The following is a 21439-nucleotide window of genomic DNA, read 5'->3' as shown; positions in this document are numbered from 1 at the left end:
TTCCTATTTCTCCACATGCTCTCCAGCACCTGTTGTTTCCTGACTTTTTAATGATCGCCATTCTAACTGGTGTGAGATGGTATCTCATTGTGGTTTTGGTTTGCATTTCTCTGACGGCCAGTGATGATGAGCATTTTTTCATATGTCTGTTGGCTGCATAAATGTCTTCTTTTGATAAGTGTCTGTTCATATCCTTTGCCCATTTTTTGATGGGGTTGTTTGATTTTGTCTTGTAAATTTGTTTAAGTTTTTTGTAGATTCTGGATATTAGCCATTTGTCTGATGGGTAGATTGCAAAAATTTTCTCCCATTGTGTAGGTTGCCTGTTCACTCTGATGGTAGTTTCTTTTGCTGTGCAGAAGCTCTTTAGTTTAATTAGATCCCATTTCTCAATTTTGGCTTTTGTTGCCGTTGCTTTTGGTGTTTTAGACGTGAAGTCCTTGCCCATGCCTATGTCCTGAATGGTATTGCCTAGGTCTTCTTCTAGGGTTTTTACGGTTTTAGGTGTAACATTTAAGTCTTTAATCCATCTTGAATTAATTTTTATATAAGTGTAAGGAAGGGATCCAGTTTCAGCTTTGTACATATGGCTAGCCAGTTTTCCCAGCACCATTTGTTAAATAGGGAATCCTTTCCCCATTTCTTGTTTTTGTCAGGTTTGTCAAGGATCAGATAGTTGTAGATGTGTGGTATTGTTTCTGAGGGCTCTGTTCTGTTCCATTGGTCTAGATCTCTGTTTTGGTACCAGTACCATGCTGTTTTGGTTACTGTAGCCTTGTAGTATAGTTTGAAGTCAGGTAGCGTGATGCCTCCAGCTTTGTTCTTTTGGCTTAGGATCGACTTGGCAATGCAGGCTCTTTTTTGGTTCCATATGAACTTTAAAGTAGTTTTTTTCCAATTCTGTGAAGAAAGTCATTGGTAGCTTGATGGGGATGGCATTGAATCTATAAATTACCTTGGGCAGTATGGCCATTTTCACAATATTGATCCTTCCTATCCATGAGCATGGAATGTTCTTGCATTTGTTTGTGTCCTCTTTTATTTCGTTGAGCAGTTAGGTGACCACTTTTTCTAAGTAGGTTCCCCTGTGTGTCAGCTGCTCACCTGATTGCTCTCTGATCCATTTCTGTTCCTCTCCTGTTCTGCTCTGAATCACAGAGAACTAGCTCTGGCCAGATTTGGTCAAGGGGAGGCACTACTAGAAAACTGGAGAGTGGGAGGAGGGGAGGAGCCAGAGTACTTTACTCTTTCGTGCTCTGTCTTGGTTGCATCTCCAGTAGACAAGCCCTCGCTTCTAGTCCTCACTGCTGTGAAGCAGCACCTCTTCTTCGATTCTAGCTTCCAGATAGTCTAGGTGTCTGAGTTCTAGTTGTACCCTTTCTTCTGACTTCTCCTCCATCCTTGGGAGTGGTAGTGGGCTTCTTATGTTGCTCATCTCTGGTCTCATTACCCTCTAATCTTTCCATTGTGTGTTCAACCAACTCCTTGTATTAATCTCCTCTGTTTATAAGACCCGGATGGTTTCTGTTTTCTTTTATACTATATTATAGTAGGTTATGTTACCCTGCTTTGCTTTTTTCTCCATGGCTCCTTTTATAAATTATAATTATTTACTTGTTTATTTGTTTACTAACATCTTGTCTATTTCCTGCATCGGATGACAGTCTCCATGAGAAAATAGTCTAGCTATTTTTGGTCACCCATTATATCTGTCATGTCCCAGGTGCTCTATAATAACGTATTAAAAGAACAAATAAATCTAGTGCCTGAATCTTTTAATCCTGGATCCATGAACAACTCAGGGGTTCTATGGATGAACTTGGGGAGAGAAGTAAACCTTTTCAGGATGTAAATGTGTGCATGAATTTGTGTATGTATACTTATCTCCTCATTGGCAAGAGTCCATAGCTTTCAGTAGAGTCCCAGCCTATCAAAAGACCTTTGAAAGTTAAGAGACAGTGCATCTAGTGGAGAGATGCCCACATGCACAATTGTTACTAACATGTTATGATATTAACATTAATAAAAGTAACTGGGAGCACAGATGAAGAAATTAGTTGCTCATTTCAGTTGTTAAAGCCAAAAGCTTGGGAGTCATCCCTGACACCTCTTATTCTTCACATCTAACTCATCAGCAAGTATATCAGTTGGCTCTACCCTCAAAGAACTTCCAGAGTTCAATGTCTACTATCTTCATCTTGGTCCAAGTCACCATTATTTCTTTCCTTCTAAGTGTGGATGGATGAAGAAGACTCTGTTCTGGCTGCTTTAGCTCTTCCCCTTAATAGTTATGGTCTATTCTCAACATTGCAGCTCAAAGTCTGACATGAGCCTGATCACGCTACTCATTTGCTCAAAACTCACCAGAGGCTCCAATCTCACATAGAAGTAAAGTCAGAGTCCTCCCAAAACTCTCTGCTTTGCATCATTTCCCACCTGTCCCCTCTGGCCCTGCCAACCTGCCTTGCTGCTTGTTAGCCAAGCCACACCCTCCCGTCTCAGGGCCTTTGCTCTGGCTGTTCACTCTGCTGGAAGGCTCTTCTTTCACATAGCCTCTTATTTGTTCCTTCATCTTTTTCTGTGCTCTGCCCATATGACAAATATTGCACCTGCTCCCCCTCTCTCTTTCCTATGTACCCTGCAGTGTTTTTAGCCATACCATGAACCACATCCAATACACTGAAGATTTACTTATTTATTTGTTTATTGTCTGTCCCCTACTCCTAGAACATGAGCTCTAGCAGGGCCCGCACTTTGTTAGCTTCAAGCCTGGAACAGTGCCTGGCACATGGTAGGTTCTCAGTACATATTCACTGAGTGACTCTGATGGCGATACCTACCATTGAGAACATTGAACAATGAATGGAGTTTGGAGAAGCAAAGAAGGATGGCTGATAGTGAGGAGAAAAGCAAGTGACAAGCACTCATCAAGGCTGGACTGGGATGGAGTCTTTGCCTCCTGAATATGTTTCATTTTCAGAATTTTATGTTCACCCATCACCGATTTCCCCTTCCCAAAGGTCTGCCCTGCATAAGTCCATAGCTACATAGAGATTCTGCCACATCTACAGAATTGGCTCTACCATTATTTCTTTGTGCTTAGTCCATGGATGTAAGTGGCTGGGTTAAAGGAATTTAGACTAGGGAGCTGGGTTAGCCATTGCTGTTCCAGGGTGAGTTCTTGATATACATGATGAATAATGCAGCAGATGACTGGGTTGGGGGCAGAGTAGGAACTGATGGTGGGAGGCAGAGTAACCTTAAAAGGAAAACAAGATACCGGGCGCGGTGGCTCACGCCAGTAATCCCAGCACTTTGGGAGTCCGAGACAGGCAGATCATGAGGTCAGGAATTTGAGAGCAGCCTGACCAACATGGTGAAACCTCCTCTCTACTAAGAATACAAAAATTAGCTGGGCATGGTGGTGCGCACCTGTAATCCCAGCTACTCAGGAGGCTGAGGCAGGAGAATCGCTTGAACCCGGGAGGTGGAGGTTGCAGTGAGCTGAGATCACACCAATGCACTCCGGCTTGGGCGACAGAGCAAGACTCTGTCTCAAATAAAAATAAAAATTAAAAATAAAAGGAAAACAATGAAAATGTGTGTGTGTGTCTATGTGTGTCTGTGTGTGTGTTGAGTGACAGAGAGAGAGAGAGAGAGAGAGAGAGAGAGAGAGAGAGAGAGAGAGAGAGAGAGAGAGAGAGAGCCAAGCATAACAAATGCTTACCAAGAAGTTCCAGGTCATCCAATAATTCTTTTCAGCCTCTCCCATCTGTCATCCTGAAATGCTGGTAAGATTGACTTCAAGGAACACAGTCAACTTTTGTTTTTGGAGACTGTAGGGTAAATATTGAAGATCTGGAACTGTTTGGCTCAAGACTTCAATGCCTTGAATAAAGCTGCTGGACGGTTTGGAAGCCACCTGGCCGGAAATTTAACTTTTGCAGTTTGGGGTATTTTTTTTCCTTCCTATCCTTTAATTCCTCCCTCCCTCCCTCCATCCACCTTAACACCAAATTAGCAATTTGGATGCCATAAATGTAGTGTGGACATGGGTACCAGCCAAGGTCACGAGGCTCAGTATATAAGAAGTGAATGCCAGCTGTATTTCAGAAAGAATTTCCAAGGCTGGAGAGGCAGAGGGAGGAAAGATCTGGGTTTCCTGATTGTGGCTTTTCCTCCCTTTTCTACACGCACACACACACACACACACACGCACACACACACACTACCCTTTTCTACTTTTAATTTCCTGTTTCTATTCTGGCCCTCTCCTATCTGGATTCAGGCCTCCTCTCTTGGTCCCCCTGCCCATGGATGCACTAACTCAACACATATGAAAGTAAAATTAGAGAATGGTCTGTATGGACCCAAACTAATAAAAACAATGGATAGACTAGAGTGATCTCCAAAACTTAACAAAGGCTTTTGAAACCTAAATTCACATTCTGGGGCATGTGGGGGAGGGGAGACTAATAAATGTAATATACTGAGAGAACTGAATTCAAACAAATATATCATGATTTTATTTGCCAGAAATTAAATAAACATTACTCGAATTTATGAGTTTGCTAATTATTGCCTGTGTCTTCAGTATTAAAACTAAGATCAAGACCTTCCTCTGTATATAACAAGAAACTATATCCAGCTATTTATCTACATAACAATATCTGTATCTGTGTCTATATCTCTATCTATGTATATCTGTATCTATATCTAGCTATCTGCCTACCTGTGTAGATCTAGATATATTATAATGGCTCAGCATTTGCATTCTGTGGTCAATGCACAGCCTACATGCATGCACTTTGCTGTAGTTCACAGTCAGACTCAATTTCTGACTTCTAAACACTAAAATTTCTTTATGGTGCAGAACATTGTACCACAGTACTCCAAAACATCGCCCCCATAAAAAAATCTACCCAATACGAAAAACTAAAATAAAAGCAAAGAACAGGCTGCAGCTATGCATTTGAATTAGTTTGATGGAGCCCATCCTTGTATGTTATTGTGAACATTGTATTTGATTTGGGGTGATTTACAAAGGAGGTTCATATGCCTGGGCCCTTTGAAAACCCTAAACTCTATTTAAACAGTGGATTTATAAATGTGTATCCTTCACTCATCAAGCATTTTTGAGCTTCTGCTGTGTGCCAGGATGGTATCAAGACTCTGAGGATATAGAGTCAAAGGAGTATAGTCTTTGCCTCAAAGAATTCACAATGTCATCAGGACTTGGCCGATAACAGTTGGAGGTGATAGGTGTCAGGATAGCAGGTGGTAGACACAGAGTACAGGGGAACCTCTAGGAAGTGGACTTGACTTCCCAGATGCTGTCTGGTGAAGGTATTTTTCCTGGAGGGGGTGATGGTGCTTTGGCAGATTCACAGGCGTTAGCCAGGTAGAAGGAATGTGGTGCTCGGTCTGAATGTGTTCAGGGAGCTGTGTGTGCAAGGCACAATCACCCTAGAAGGGCTTGTGCCACTGTAATTCTGTGCCTGGAGCCTCCAGGGCAAGGCTGTGGGAAGAAGCCAGACTGATGAGATAGTGAGTGAGAAACAAGATCCCAAAGGGTTAAAAAATCTCCAGGTAATTTGCAAACCAAAGGTTACCATGTTCATGTTTGTGTTTTGTAAAGATGTTTCTTCTTTAGCTCCGGCCTATGATTATCTCCTTGAGAATGGATCTACTTTCTATCAGTTGACATACACAGTTCACAAAGAAAAGACTTACTAAATTAGATTATGTAGAATATGAAGCACCAATTAAAAGCAGAACACAGAACAAACAGAAGTGTTGAGTGCAATGTATGCCAATTTTTAAAAATATAGCCAGTGTTGTCACCACTAGATACCTATTGGTTCAGTAGGGTTGGTAAACTTTTAAGGACTGGCAGGTTTTTAAAACCTTTAGCAATGTAATGCTAAGAGATGCTGTCTTTGAGGACTTTCAGATGAATCCTGGAGTGGAAGGTTCCTTTGGCTCTGCCTCTTGGAGGAATTGTCAGGTAGGAAAAGAGGAAGAAACTTGTTCTGGAACAATTTCAAAAGGGGCCATGTGTCCAGACTGGGGACAGAGAACCTTATCTGATTCAGGCTGTACCCTTGACATGAGGCAAAGAGCAGGTCTCTGGAGTCAGACAGCCATCGGCGGGGAATCTCAGCTCTTTTGCTTGCTGGCTAAGAACATTTCTCTGTGCCTCTGTCTCAGATACTCACCACAGCCTACCACTTGGGGCTATTGTGAGAATTAAATATAAGTTAATGTGTATCCAACAATTAGACTCATGCCTGCACCTACTAGATTCTTCTTAAATATTGGCTATTATCATACTGTGTGATTTCCATTATAAACTTAATGAGGCACCTGGCACATAATTAGATGCAGTAAACATTCATTTCCTTTCTCATTCAATACTGAGAAAATAGACATGGAGTGACGGGTATGATGGAAAGAATGTAGTTCAGGAGTCAGGGGCTTGGTGTAGATGGTCTATTGATGATCCGCCCAGCTCTGAATCTTTGTCCCTCCAAGCAGAGCCAGGGATCTGCCTATGGTGTGTGACTCTGGTTATTACTGTGCTGAGCCCCCTGCCCTGCGCATGGAGATGCACAAGCAAACCCCACATCTTGGAAAACTGCATCCTCTTCGAGGCCAGGAAACTGCTCTGTGCCACCCTGTTTCCCAGGGGCCCCAAATAGTCTTCCTCCATTCAAATGCATTTGCATGTCCTCCAAGTCTGACTGAGGCTAGAGGGGATTTCTTGTAATCCGTGGCACATTTCTTTTGATTTGAAACTCTCTCTCTCTTCATCTTTACCAGGGTCCCAAGAGGTGAAAAGTCCACTTTAGTAGGTGCCAGGTTCAGGAATTCTCACAATCCTCTTAGGCTCTGAAGAGCCCTGAGATTTCTCTGTTAGTACAATGGCCTGATTGTGCCGCCCCGTCGCAGTCCATTGACAGGTCGTCAGGCCAGCTAAAAGCTCATCTTAAACAACTACCTCCAAGCTTAAATCCAAACACCACAGCTGCACTTCTGGAACCAGGTTTGTTTTCCCAGAATATCAGTTACAGCATTTTAAAAATGAGCAACCTCATTATCAACAGTGTTTCTGAGAAGCAAGCATTCTTGTAGAAAATGCCAGCTCTGCAGGGCTGGCAGGAGCTACACGGCACACACATTCTCTTGCCCGCCACCCCCAGCCTCAGGCATCACTCAGCCAAACCCACGAGTGCAGTTTAGCAAAAATGAACACCAGAACTTCATTCCTATAAAGGAGCGAGGTTCCTGGGTGCCGGAAGAAGGGAGTGAGATTTCCTTCCTCAGAGGTCCTGGAGAACAGGAGAGAAGCTTGTTCCCGTAAAGAGTCAGCCTCACTTTACCAGAGGGAATCTTGGATTTGAACCTGGGTTTTATTTCCCAGCTTTGGCATCTACTAGTCGTGTAATCTTCAACAAATACTGAAATTTTCCCAGCCTCAATTTTTTTTGTCTGCTAAATAGCGGTAATTATTTCAAAGATCAAATGAAATTATACACAGGAAAAAGACTTGCAAATTAGAAGGCCTTTAACATTTAAAAAGAAGTATCTTATTCCTCTTAATATGATCTGTTCTTCTTTTATACATACATGTGTATGTGTCTGAACTAATCAGGCTGCTGTAACAGGAGACCATTGACTGGTTGGCTTAAGCAACAGACATGTATTTCTCACAGTTCTGTAAGATGGAAGTCTGGGATCAAGGTACCAGGCTGTTCGGGTTCTGGTGAAGGCCCTCTTCCTGGCTATGTCCTGGCATAGCTGAGAGCAGACAGAAAAGAAGCAAGCTCTCTCCTGTCTCTTAGAAGGACACTAATCCCATCAGGAGCACTCCACTCTCATGACCTAATTACCTCTCAAAGGCCCTGTCTCCAAATACCATCACATTGGGGGTCAGGGTGATCATAGAGCAGCATGTAGCTTACCTCTCTTCAGTTAAACCGCAAACCCTTAAGAGTTTTGGAGGACAACAGTTAATTCAAAATAAGTTCAAAACACTGCTCTTGACACAATGCGAGGCACAGAGCAGACATGAAATAAAAGTATGGAGGAATTATTAAATATTATTCATTATCTATTTAAGAATGCAGGAAATTATGTAACATATTGTTTTTTTAAAAAATCCAAGTATACTTATATCTACACACAGATATAGACGTATCGTGTGTATGTGCGTATGTTTCTTTACCTGCAAAGTGTAAATATCTCTTTCCAGAAGACTCAGCTCTCAATGATTTGTTTGTGTTTGAGGCAGCTTGGTGGCTTATGGAGAGCATGGAATCTGCACTGAGAGATACTTCCATTCAAAAGACCTGCTTCTTACTCGTGCTGACTTGAGGCACATTACCTAACCTCTCTGAGCTTTGAATACATCCGTAAATTGAGTCAATGCCTCCCTCACCAGGTTGTGGTGAGGATGGAATGAGATAGCACATGCAAGGCATTTGTCATCATGCCTGGCCCTCATTACTCACTCAATACAAAGCTGTCATCCTACCAACATGACAAATGGGGGAAGAGGAGGGAAGAGAGTGACAGACATGTGGTTTGGATGGCTCATGCAACAGGCGTCCGGGGGTGACGGGTAATGCACTTTGAAGGTCCCTATAATAATATAACCCAGCTCCATGCAGAAGTAAGCCCAAAGGAACAGAGGGTCAAATTAGAGTTTTGAGGCTGAGTATATGTCTCCATTCTAATGAAAAACCTACGGTCAACCAAGGTTGATCTTTTAGAAGACACTTTAAGAGCCTGTCCAGCACTTTGGGAGGCCAAGGCGGGTGGATCACGAGGTCAGGAGATCGAGACCATCCTGTCTAACACGGTGAAACCCCATCTCTACTAAAAATACACAAAATTAGCTGGGTATGGTGGCCCACGCCTGTGGTCCCAGCTACTCAGGAGGCTGAGGCAGGAGAATTGCTTGAACCCAGGAGGCGGAGGTTGCGGTGAGCCGAGATTGCGCCACTGCACTCCAGCCTAGGTGACAGAGCAAGACTCCCTCTCAAAGAAAAAAAAAAAAAGAGTCTGTCCAAGGAGAGGTTCTGACTTACAGTCTCTGGGCAAGTCAGGAAGTGGGAAGTGGGAAATGGGAAACACATCATAAACATCTCTTTCTCCATTCTTTTCTTAGGTGATAACACCGTCTATGTGCTGATGACTGCCAATGTATGCCAAATTTATATATCCACCCTGAAAATGTCTCCAAAACTTTAGGCTTATAAATGCAGCTGCCTCATCTATATTTCTTGTATATCTATTATATATATACACACACACAGCTCAACTTAAAAGTGCAAAAGTCAGTTTTTGGTCTTTCTCCATCTCCTCCTTTATAACTTTCTCTTAATATTCCTTGGATTTCAAGACTGATTCCATGCATTATTGCACCACCTTTTTTTCCCCTAAGTAAGCAATAATAGCACAATGTACTAGGCTCCAGGGACTGTTCTAAGTAACGGGAAGATAGAATAAAATAAGAGACTATCACTGCCCTCAAAGGGCTCACTAAGTAGTAGGGGAATCAGCACATTGTCCTGAAAGTCTCAATGTTGTAATGCTGTAGAACAGAACAGGGAGATAGATGTTTCCATGGAATGATACTGAAGAGATGACATTTTTAGCTGCTTCTTGAAGGATGATAAGGAGGTTACTATTCGATGGGTATTGTACCATTACTGTCCCCACTCAGTTAACCTCCATGTATTTAAGAGAATTATACACACACATCCCATAGATCGGCTTTTGCTATATGACTTGCATTTGCCAATGGAAAGTGAGCAAAAGTTACGTGGGCTACATCTGAGCAGAAACTTTCAAAAACATCATCAGGTTACACAGCTCATTTCCTTCTTTTGCAAGGGCAGTGTGTTCCAGGGAGGGATTTCTCCTCCAGCCCAGATCTCAAAATGAAGAAGACTCAACAACCAGGACTTAGGACAAACGAATATGTAGCCCAGGGAACTTTAGCCTATTGTTCCACCATTAGTATGCATCCGCTGACTCCTTGTATTAGTTTCTCTTCCACCAAGAAGAGAGTGGAAGTGATGTATGTGTTTGTGCACAATCGGACATATGTGAATAAGGAGAACATTTTGCTTCCCAAAATCTTTCTTAAGCCTTGATAAACCATTCTATTTGGAGAGTAAGATCCCAACAAAAAATTCAGACCCTAAAAGATGGTCTCTAGACTCTTTCTATGACAATAGAAATGGGATTTTCTTCATTCCTTGGAGAGAGAAGGATGCAGAGATAAAAGGAGCTTTTCAACATCCAAGTCTTCAGTAGAGTGAACTAAAAATAAAATGCTAGGTATGAGAATTTTTTTTTCTAAGAAATTGTGAAGCAGTGACATTTCAAGTTTGGGTTGGTGTGGAGTGAAGCAAGTAGGACGCAGCCAGAGGTGAACCAGGGGAGAAGACTGTTAGGACGCAAGCCCCAAGACAATGACAGATGTTACACAGGAGCTTTGGACTTTGTGGGGAGTTTAAATCAACTTTACCTAAACATGATTAGCACAAGCCCAGATCCAGGCAACTTGGGCCAAGTACCTCAGAGGGCTTCTCTCTGGCTGTCCTCAGGATGTCCCTTTCCATGGGGTTAGGAATGTGCTCAGTCTGGTGGTGTGTGCATCTGGAACTCATGCCCTGCCAGGTTCATGGGCCATTGGCATCCCCTGTCCAGATGGTTCCAATCTGGCTTTCTAGGCCTGTGCAGGACTCTCACCTAGGTTCTTCCTCCGGATGGTGGACCACTCCACCGAGGAGCTTTGTTTGTGGGGATGTGGATAGAAATTGAGTGTCCGGACCCTCATATGTCCACATTCCTACTTGTGAGCTGGTCCTGGTGCTGATAGAGTCAGGTGGGAAGAGAAGGGGGCTTGATCAACAACCTCCATTGGCACTCATACCCCAGGCCCTGAAATCTTGGAGGAAGGCTTATCTCTGAAGGGCAGGGAGGCCCCAGCTGACATCTTATGTAGTACAATTTGAGGACAAGGCCCTGCCCATAATACAAGGGATGCTTTGGGCAAGCCTACCCTGAGAATTAACCATGAGCTTCTTCCTTAAATGGCACAGTAATGAGGTGGCAAGAAAAATCCAGTTACAATTTTAATGTCCAAAAGCTCATCCATCTGCATTACAATCCTGTAAGAAAAATATGCCATGTGTGGCACCTGTAAAGTGAAATAGGCAAGCCTTGGTTCTCCTACAGGGCAATGATTTCTTCACTTGGAATGCCAGCAATGTCTTCTCCTTGGAAAGTTTATAGAGCTTATATCCTGCCTGTTCACCTTTAATAAAGAAATGTTAAATATTGTAAAATAAACTTTCTTTAATGGGGCAGGAATTCATATCCTCCGAGTGTTTTGCTTCTTTAAACATCCCGAGGGCTATGAAATGCCCCGGTTGGACTGGCTGCCATGTCAGCGGTGTGCCTGACTCACTTGGTTTTGGGGCCTACAGCTGGGGAAAGGGGAAGGTTCCAGGCATCACTGCTGGATTATTTGTCTTTATTGTCCAGCTACATTCTTCCTGCTGTTTGACTGGGTAAACTCAAAGCTTGCTTTCTTCTGTGCTACTTTTCCTTGTCTGATTATACTTAAACTTCCCGTCATATACCTGACATTCATATGGTGTGTGTCCCCACTGTCCCTCATCCTTCCTGCCTAGGAGTTCTTTCATGGACAGCAGAGAGGAAGGAATGCTGGACTTGGGATTAGGTCAGCAGGCTGCACATCGAAGGCCCTTTGCTTACTGAGTAATGTTGGGCAAATCAATTTAAAAATCTCCCTTTAGAAAGAAGCCAGGCATTCATTTGTTCCTTCAAAAATACGCCTCCAGGCCTACTATGTGTCAGACAGCATGAGGAGCACAGGAAGACAAAGATGAAGCACCCAGATAAACAGAGTGAGTAATTACCTGTGACTTCAGCACTTAAAGAGATTAATACCTTGTCGCTCTCCCAGGCAAGTTGTGAGGGTCAAAGTGAACTTGTGCTCAGAGACATAAGGGAAATAAGAGTGTGCCAACAAAAGACAGTGCCTCCCAACCTTATTTCAGGGCTTCACTCGTAGTTGGTATGCAATAACTGTCTGGATCAAGTGTAGCTGCCATTTTAGTATTTACTGCTCTTGTTTATTTTTTGTAACTTCACTCACAACTTCCTTTAAAAATAAATGCAGGGGTGCACTAAGGTTGAAGTGATTTTCAATAGAGTTTGTTCTGATTATTTGAAAATGGGATCCCCCTGGGGTATTGCAAAACTGGGCTCTGGATCTTGGTCTTTGAATAAGTGGATGGTCTTTCACACTCAGAGAAGAGAAAAGCTGCGGGAGATCTCCAGTCTAACAACAGAGATCATTGTACACCGGTGGGGCTGCTGGGTCAAGAGTTAAATCAGAATAATCTGAATACAAATCATAACATAGAAAAAGGAAAATTTCCATCCTTGCAAACTCCTTGAGCCATTGATTGGAGTCACAGATACTGCTGTTCTCTCAGCAGAAATGTATTAAGACCATATGTAAAGATAAATATTCTGGTCTGAGCAAGATACAAAAACAAGAAGCAAAGAACCGGTCAGTGGGGTGCCTCATGGACTGCTGTGTTTCCACCCACACTAAAGAATACTCAGAACCGTAGGGGGGTTAGATTCTGCTCACCCTTTCATTTGCTCATTTATTCAACAAATATTTATTGAGTACCTGCTGTGTGCTGGGAATTCAGAAGGAAGCAAAATCTGGCTCAGTCCCTGCCTTCATGAGTTAGTGAAGGACACAGACATTAATAGAATAATCACACACTCATCCCACAGTTGTGGTGGTGATTGTGGTAGATAATGCAAAGAGGCTACAAATAAGACAACTGATTTCACAAGGAAAGACAAGATAGGCTTCTCCGAGGAGGTGAAGCTTGACCTCTGTGAAAAAAATCATCACATTACCTTCTCTGTCTCTTCTGCTTTACTCTTCCATCTTTTGGGGATTTTTGTGATTACATTGGGCCCATCTGGATAATCTAGGGTAATCCTCTTCATCTCAAGATCCTTAAACACAGCTACAAAGTCCTTTTGATGTGTAAGGTAACAGTCACAGGTTCGGGGATGAAGCCATCTCTGAGGACATTATTGTGCCTATAGCATCAGGGCATCTGCATTGAAACCTCAGCAGGAATTAAAGGGTAAGTAATATATAAAAAGATGTTGTTAGCTCCAAGCAACTGGAGATCCTATCTTAACTGCACTAGGCTCAGTCAAAGAAAGTGGACAGAAAGTCAGCTGCCTTTGCAGGAGTAGGGCTAAGTAAACGAGAGGCAGAGCCCAGAACTTAATGCCTGAATGAAATGTTTATGGTGTATAAAGCGAGTCTACTCTAAAGGCAAATAAAATGCTTGATAATTCAGAGGATTTGAGAATTGATTTGAAAATACATGGATTCTGGCACTATGCCTCGCTGTGAATATGGCAGGGCTGCCTATGACAATCCCAGGGTGTTATTTCTCTAAATGCATCACCCCAGTCCTTGGAAGGAGTCTGGTTTCTGCTCCTTTGGAAACTTCCAGTATGCACTGTTTATTAGCATCCCGATCCACCCCCTCAAATACACCTCTTCCCAGAAGAATCTAAATTGATTTAATGATATTTTATGTTTCCCTTGTAGAAATTTCCCAGTTCTAATTTTTCTAGTTTGCTTTTACAGTACTATTTTTTCTCCCTTCTCACCTTCCTCCAGCATCAAACGACATAACTACCATCCCTCTGGTGTGGGATACTTACTAGGAAAGCTCAACAGACCTATTGTAATACAACTCAAGGTACAGGAAAGAGCAGAGATTCAATATCACCCCTCCTGGGCCCTGTTAGGCTAAGTGGATAGTTGCTGTTGGCAGCACTTTGCAGAAATTGACCCAAAGCCTTGCCTGCAAGGCCCCCTTCCCTCCCACTCTACCACCCATAGAGGGTTCAAGTGCACTGAGTTTCACTCAGGAGAATACCTTCCTAAGGGGTCTCAGGTATATGAAGGTGGGATAGAGTAGAGCATTCCATGAATAGGTGGGGGTTTTCCAGAAGTCTTCTGAAGCTAGACAAGCAAAGACATCCCAAGACAGGAGCACAAGCAAGGGTTCAAATCACTGTAGTCGGGATCTTCCCAAATTTACTGCAGAAACCAGTCTAATTTTGTTTTTTCCTAAAAGCCACTTTCCTCTTCTCTCTTCCTTTGGAATTTCCATATATTAGCATTAATTCATTTATTCTTTGAGAGGAAGGAAAAATTGGGAAGTCTAAATGGAAGCTGAAATCTTCTGAGCATTTGCTTTCTAACTTGTAGAGGCTAAAATTAGACCTTGGAAAAGGTTAGTTTTCTTCTCTTTACCACCCCTTTTTAGAGTGTGAGGAGAAATTCCTCCCATTCTCCTGACCTGTAGGATATGGCTAATAACAGTCCTGTCTCATGAAAGATGATGTGAGGACTGAAATAATGTATGTAAAGCACTCAAAAGATGCCAAGTATCCAACAAGCTTTTAATAAATGTTCACTAAGAGGTGGGTGATGATGAAGATGGTGTTGATGGTGAAGATGATGATGGTGGTGATGATGGTGATGGTGATGATGATGATGATGACAATGGTGATGATGATGGTGGTGATGATGATGATGATGTTGGTGATGGTGATAATGATTCCTCAATTTTCCTAACTCTACTTTTTGGTTGGATTCTCAAGCTTTAAAAATGTAAGGGCATTTTTAAAAATCTAATTCATCTTTCAAGCTTTGCTCAATTGATAAATAAAATTATAGCAACTTACTTTGCCCCTTAATCAACTGTCTTACAGATAATATTTTTCTCAAGTTTAGCTTTGACTCTTTGCCTCTCATGTCTTGGTTGGTCTCTGTCAGTTACCATCTTTAAGTGACTGTCTGGCTGCTATGGAGATGCTGAGTGTAGATCATGGTGCTCTAGAGAAGTTTTAGAGAGTTAGAGAATTCTAAATCACTGAGTTCTTTAGATCCTTCCACATTGTCCCCAGATCACTCCTTTCAAAATGTCAACTCCTAAAAAAGTTGATCAGTTCTAGCTTAAATCATCAGGTCACACATTCCTCTTTTCCTCACAGGCTGAATAGTTCAGAGTAGATTTTGAGAATGATCTGCTGGAATCTTCTCCTGTCCCACAAATAACCAAGTTGACCAGAGGTAGACGGTGTCTCAGATTTTCCTGAAGGCCCCTTCATAATCTGTCTGCCCTTTCATGCCTTGCCCCCCAAAAACCTTTTTCAATCTCCCTCAGAAAGTCCAAGTGCTCATTTACAAGACTTCCTGTGGGAGGAAAGAAAAAGAACACTGAGAAGATGGTTCATTGCTCAATGCAGCCCCTGACAACAGATTCCCCCAGCTTCCCCTTTTTGCAGCCCATAAACTGTTCTGTAAAAATTAAAAAGCGTTGAATTTACAGGGCCTAAAAGGAGCCAGGAGGTAAAGAACCATCTCCAATCAATGGGTCAGGCATACTGATAAAGCAGGAATATGACGTCTTGCAAATTTCTGGCCAATAAAATACCTTCCTTGTCTTTCCAGATCCTTGACCTTCTCTTTCCCATGCAAAACTAAGTGGGGATAAGAATGAGAAGGGCAAGTAAAAAAAAAAAAAGCAATAAAACAAAGCAAAATATCCAGCATGCTCTGGGCTTATAGGGCCACAATTAGGTCATGAAGGCCTCTCTTCTGGAGCTTTTATTTCTCTGTAAATCCCTTGGCTATCTTTCTTGCCCCAGCATTTCCCTGTTTTCCATTTCAGGGAAGCTTGGGTTGATCAGTAACAAACATTGTTGCTAAAATTGTTCCAACTGCAATGGTCCTGTGGGAATTGAGGTGACTGGGTGTGTCCTGAGTGGTAGTGGAAGAGACATGGGGCAAGGCTGGGCTGTGTTGGCTTTGTGACTTTGGAAGGCAACCTTAACCTCTCTGAGCCTCAGCTTTCTCATCCCTGAAAGGAGGAGAGTAGAGCTGGAATGGAGCTTGAGATTTCTTGGTCTGATATTCTCTAATTCTTAAGCAAGTCTGGAATGCAGGGAAGAGATAGAGGGACTATCAGAGCAAGCATCACGGGACAATGGAAGGCGGAAGCTATCTAGACTCTGCAGCTTCGGCTCAACCTTCTGAGTCCCCAGCGTTATCTGCATCCTGTCCATTTACCTAAATTTGGCCAAGATTGCATTGACTTATGTTCGTATGGCTGATAATCCCTCCAACTCTTTGAGAAAGAGAAAGAGAGAGAGAGAGAGGGAGAGGCTGAAAATAACTAAACCTTGATTAAGTTAGAGGAATAACTATTATGAAGGTATCAAATACTAGGACAGACAGGATTATGATAATATTCCTTGGCTACTTGTTTGAGAATAAGTATCTTATCTGTAACTTAAGGATGTAGCCAGATACTCCCCTCAAAGAAATTTCCCATGTAGGCAATGAATTCAAATTGCCATCAATCCATTTGTGGTGACTTGTCTGTGTAGAGCTGGGGTGGAGTGAATACAGATGAGTTACTGTTGGGGTGATGAGTTACTGCAGGGTTATCTGCCAACCACTTGTATTTGGCAAGAGCAGATATGGAAGCCTCTGGACTTGGAGCACTGGAACCCAGAGAAAATTTCAGTTAAGCTGTTCGGTGGGCTCAAGTTGGAATTGAGAGATGCATGTTCAAGGTTCATCCAGCCCAAGATGTAGATGTAGAACAGGAATGGTTTCAAATGGTCTTTTCAGAAAAAGGAAATGTCAAGACAGCCCCCCAGGAATATACAGACTCCAGGCTGATGGGACAGTAAGAGGAGTATCTGAGCTAGATGCTAAGGCTGGTTTCCTCTGTTGAACTAGATAATCTCTGAGGTCCAGAAAATAGAAGTAGTTTATCTAAGGGCACACGACTGGTTAGTTGATGGGCTGGGATTCATACCTAAGTTCACTCATTCATCCATTCATTCATTAGCCAATGGCTACCAAATGTGGCCTGTTCTGGGCTGGATGTTGTGTGCTTCAGTCTACTGACACCCTGCCCAATTCTCTTCCTCACAAGTCATGACAATTTGATTTCTATTGAATGCACAGAATCAGCAAAGCCATACACTTCTTTCCTTGCCAAACCTTTCTTCTTTTTGTTAAGGTAATAAGGTGGGGAAAAAAAGCATAGAGGATAGACGTTTTTAATTTGAAATGAGAGTAGTGGTCATGAGTTTTTGAATAAGGCCTCTATAAGTATTCTATAACTATCCCCAAAATAGCCAGAGTTGCTTCAGCCAGGCCCACTCCATCAACAAAGGAGTCTGAGGTGCTTGCCAGGGAGTGGGAGCCTCTCAGAGCTGGAGGGATAGACTCAGAGAGGATGTGCAAATCTGAGTTCTGGAGAAGTATCTCAGAAAGAATCAACTTTTGCACTAATGCCTGGCAAGTGAAAGCTGTTCTATAAATAATATCTCTTTCCTCTTTGGTACAGCTTTTAGTTTAGTCGTTATATATTTTCTTTTTCTTACTCAGTTGCTCCCTTGGTTGTATATGATTTCTGCACCCAAAATGAACTTTTGAGGTTTTAATATATACATAGGGGTGTATCTGTGTCAGTGAGGGGAGATGTTGTAGCCTTGTTTTTAGAGTAGCTGGGGCTGGACGAGGTCAGCTGAATTTTTGAGAGTTCAGGTCAAGGCCCTCCAACTGGCAGGGAGCAGTCACACCCTCCAGGCTCCCCAGCCAAGTGCATGCTCCTCTGAAAGTCACTGAGCTGAAGATAAACATGGAGCCCATAATAGCTTTTTCACTTGATCTCCTTTATTACATGTTCCACACTTTAAATTCCTTTGCTACACTCCTGTATTCTTTTGGATCTTTCAGAACAAACATTGAAGTAGGCAAAAAAAAAAAAAAAAAGAAGCAAACTGCCCTCTTCCCTCCACCCTTCCCATCCTTTCTAAGTGAGTCACTTCGACTGGGACAATTAATCTTAATCAGGACGGTATGACAGCAGAAAAAAAGACATCCGCAGTGAAGCACTTTGGTGCCAAAGATTGGTGAGGCAACCAGTTCCTTCCTCTAGGCTGTGAAGGGGGCAATGTAGAAATGATTTGGTTGTTTTAAAAATAGCATGTCACAAAATCAGAGCTGCCTGTATCTTCAGGGTGGGCAGCAGGGATGGGGTGGTGTAATGCCTGTGCTAACCACTGAGTGTAAGCAGGCACTTTAAATATTGTTGGCTGGAAGGTCATACAGGCCACCAAGGCCCCAATGATCAACTCCACCTTCTCCAGGGGACATTGAGGACAAATAATTCCTCGTATTTGCCCTGGTGTTTTTCTCCATAAAACTCAGAGCTTCCATGCTAGTATCCTTAACCATTATCCTCATTTTCTGACAGGTGCAATTACTCATCTCCTGTCCTCTGCCCATCTCCTGTTTTGTTTTTCTCTGCATGGGTCATACTTTCCAATAAGCCATGGCTACACCTGGTACCCTAGAAAGGTTTTAGTCAACGAAGTGTACCTATTGCAGACAGACTCAGCAAGTCCTGGAATGACCAGGAGGAACCACTTCATCCCCTTATGAATGCAGTCTCATCTTTTCATTTGCAATTAGCTGATCGAGTCCTCATTAGCAGGAGGACTAGTGTTACTCTTTTGAGGTCCAAGAACTGCCGGGACACAGTCCAAAGTGCACAGTCCTGCTTCCAAATACAGGGCTGAGAGGGAACAAGAGCTTCTGAGCTGCCCAATTATGGGTGAGTATTGTTTCAGTTCCTTCTGCAGGTGCCTTTGTTAAAAACTGCCCTAAAGCAGACTGATGGATGCCTCTCCACTGCCATGGTCATGTCCTTGTTGGCCTGGATACAGGCATAGACCACAGTGGTTTCAAGGCTGCACATAGGTATCAAGGTTCCAACCCTAATGAAACAAGATGCAAAAAAGACTGAATCAGAGTTGGTGGGGTAGTGATAAAAGGAACTCGCAGTCATTCGGGGTGAGTTCTGCCCGCCCCTGGGAGAATGGTCTCCTTTCCTTCCAGCAGACTTCGGTTGGGACCATCCCAGTCCTCCTACAGTTCTAATAAGGTCTCTCTTGAGACGGTTCTTTAGCCCCATTGTGAATTTGCCTTTCTCCTTTGCAAATATTGTGAAAAGTAACAGGCCATCAGTTTCTTTACCTCTAAGGGAATTCTCTCCTCTTATTTTCCCTATGTTCTGCTCCCTGGTGTCTGGCTGCCTTCGGTTCTATATAAGGAGTCTGACCTAATAATTTTCTATATTCTGCCTCATTGTGCACACTATTGTACTGGCATAAGAAGGAAGCTATCCTTTGGTTTGAATTGTGCTCTGGTACATCCAACAGACTAACCAGTTATCGGCTTGAGAACAGAAGTCATAATGTAAGAACACATTCCCCTCCCATCCCTCCATATTGTGTGTGTCAGTTTAGGGTCTTCAGGTCCCTGTTGACACTACATTTTCCAAAACCTCTTGTCATTCATTCATGCCACAGACCATATTGAGCACTAACATTATGCTAGATTATAATGCAGATAAAGAAACTCACAATAATTATGTAGTCTAGTCAGGTGGAACAAGATACATGCATAAGCAACTGTGTTGTCAAGTAAAAAGTGATAGGTTTGGGTGCCCCGGAAATCAGAACTGGATACAAAAACTATCATGCTACTTCTTTATTGGGGAATGCAAACCCAGGAAAGGAGAAATGAAGAGAAAAGGAAGGAAAGGTTTCCTGAGCTGGATACCACTTGGTAATAAGTGTAAATAATTGATCACTCTCACAGACCCTCTTCCTAGAGGGTGGGCAGGGGAAAGAGAACAGAGAAGAAATTTTTCCCTGGCTCCTGTGTCCCACTGACAAAAGCTTCAATCTAGGGAGCATTAACTTCCCTTAACTACTTGTACATATGTGTGTGCGTGTGAATGCGTGTATGTGTGTGTGCATGTGTGTGTGTGCATGTGTGGGTGGTGTGTGTGAGGGGGGGCACATGCATGCCCACTGAGCACCCATGTATATTCCTCTGGCTCTAATGTCTCAGTAACAGCAGGAATATGCTAAGACAGGAGGCAAGAGGTTTAGAGCATGAGCACGAAGCAAGGCACCGCCCGGTTGTGTCCCTGTGCAGTTGGCCAGAGTCCACACAGTTCTGCTGGCCTCAGCGGCAACTGGGACAGAACAAGGGGCCATGGACCCCCTGAATCACCTGAGGCAAGGGAATCTGAAGTGATGCATAAAGGGACCTTGATTCAGTAACATAAGTCAGGTTCAGATAAAGTGCTTTGGGGATTCAGAGACGGGAGCTTTTTCTTAGAAGCAGAACGGGACGGAGACTTGAGGGAGGACTTTTGGAGAAGGCGGATCTTGAATGGGACTTTGCAGGATGGGGAGGTATAACTAGGCGAGGTGGGGTTGGGTGGAGGGGGCGTTCCATGAAAGGAAGACTCTATGATTGCAAGGACCCAGAGGACAGCACTGAGGACAAGTAGACAATAGTGCAGGTCTCGGTTTGGCCAGAGGATAGGGAATGGAAAGGTATGTTAAGGGATAAGGCTGAAAATGTAAACAGGGACAGCTGGGGAGCCAGGGGGAGGAATTTTGATTGGAATCTTCAGACAATAGGGGGCCACCTGTGCTGTCGTGATAAACATTTTAACTCAGGAATTTCAGTCCCTCTTCTTCACAAATTCTGTTGTGTATAGTCAGATACTTGTGCACACAATGACATTTTTAACAAGACTTTTGGAATTCCAGAGTCTACAGAACACAGTTAAAAGCTCTGCATGCTGTCCTTTCCATTTTTCCGATGAAGAAATGGAGACTGGGAAAGCTTAGTAGTGAAGATTCTGGCTTTTACTCGTTCTTGTATTTACAGAGCCTGGAGGCAGATCTGGCTCAGGCAAGGGCTGAAGCAGGTGCTCGGATGATGTGCCCAGGACTCTGTCCACTCCACCTCTCAACTCTCCCCACTCCTGTCCTGGCTTCAGTCTCATGCAAGTGCCCTTATGGCAGGGACAAGAGTTCTCAGCGCCTCCAGGTTTCCATCTTATTAGCTTAGCAAGTTCTAAAATGGACAGCAAGTGGAGAATGGAATGTTCTATCAACAAAACAAAACAAAAAGAAGGACTTTGACTAGAAAATGTGGAAATAGAGAAATGACAGTTGTTCACTCCTGGAATCAGAAATGTATTGGCTCTAGTGGAATTAGAGCTTCATTCTAAACTATTTCTTGGAGGTGGTGGTAGAGGGCTCAGGGGTGGAAAATAGCTATTGCTACTTGCTTTTCTTGTTTTAAAAAGTCTCCTGGGACAAGACATCTTCTATTAAGGCCTGAACTCAAGGATAGAAGTCTTGTTTAATCCTTTCCCAAAGAGGA

The 21439-nt window shown here is 43.0% G+C and overlaps 1 long non-coding RNA gene across 12 annotated transcripts in view, besides 1 other annotated feature; it reads left to right on the top strand.

Moving 5' to 3' along the window:
* The window catches only part of DIRC3 (disrupted in renal carcinoma 3), a 506425-nt gene that overhangs the window by 411364 nt on the left and 73622 nt on the right, over positions 1-21439 (top strand). The gene's annotated exons all lie outside the window — the stretch shown is intronic.
* Positions 7885-9084: an enhancer, noted in NCBI's record as "P300/CBP strongly-dependent group 1 enhancer chr2:218234719-218235918 (GRCh37/hg19 assembly coordinates)". NCBI's record gives its function as "activates an origin of replication core promoter dependent on BRD2, BRD4, P300/CBP, MED14 and CDK7 cofactors, with strong dependence on P300/CBP, by STARR-seq in HCT116 cells {active_cell/tissue: HCT116}" and the evidence as "EXISTENCE:reporter gene assay evidence [ECO:0000049][PMID:35650434]".

The sequence above is a fragment of the Homo sapiens genome, chromosome 2, assembly GCF_000001405.40.
Source record: "Homo sapiens chromosome 2, GRCh38.p14 Primary Assembly".
In the NCBI taxonomy this organism is placed as follows: Eukaryota; Metazoa; Chordata; class Mammalia; order Primates; family Hominidae; genus Homo; species Homo sapiens.
The sequence above is the reverse complement of the archived record's forward strand: the minus strand, read 5'-3'. Positions and strand labels throughout refer to the sequence as shown.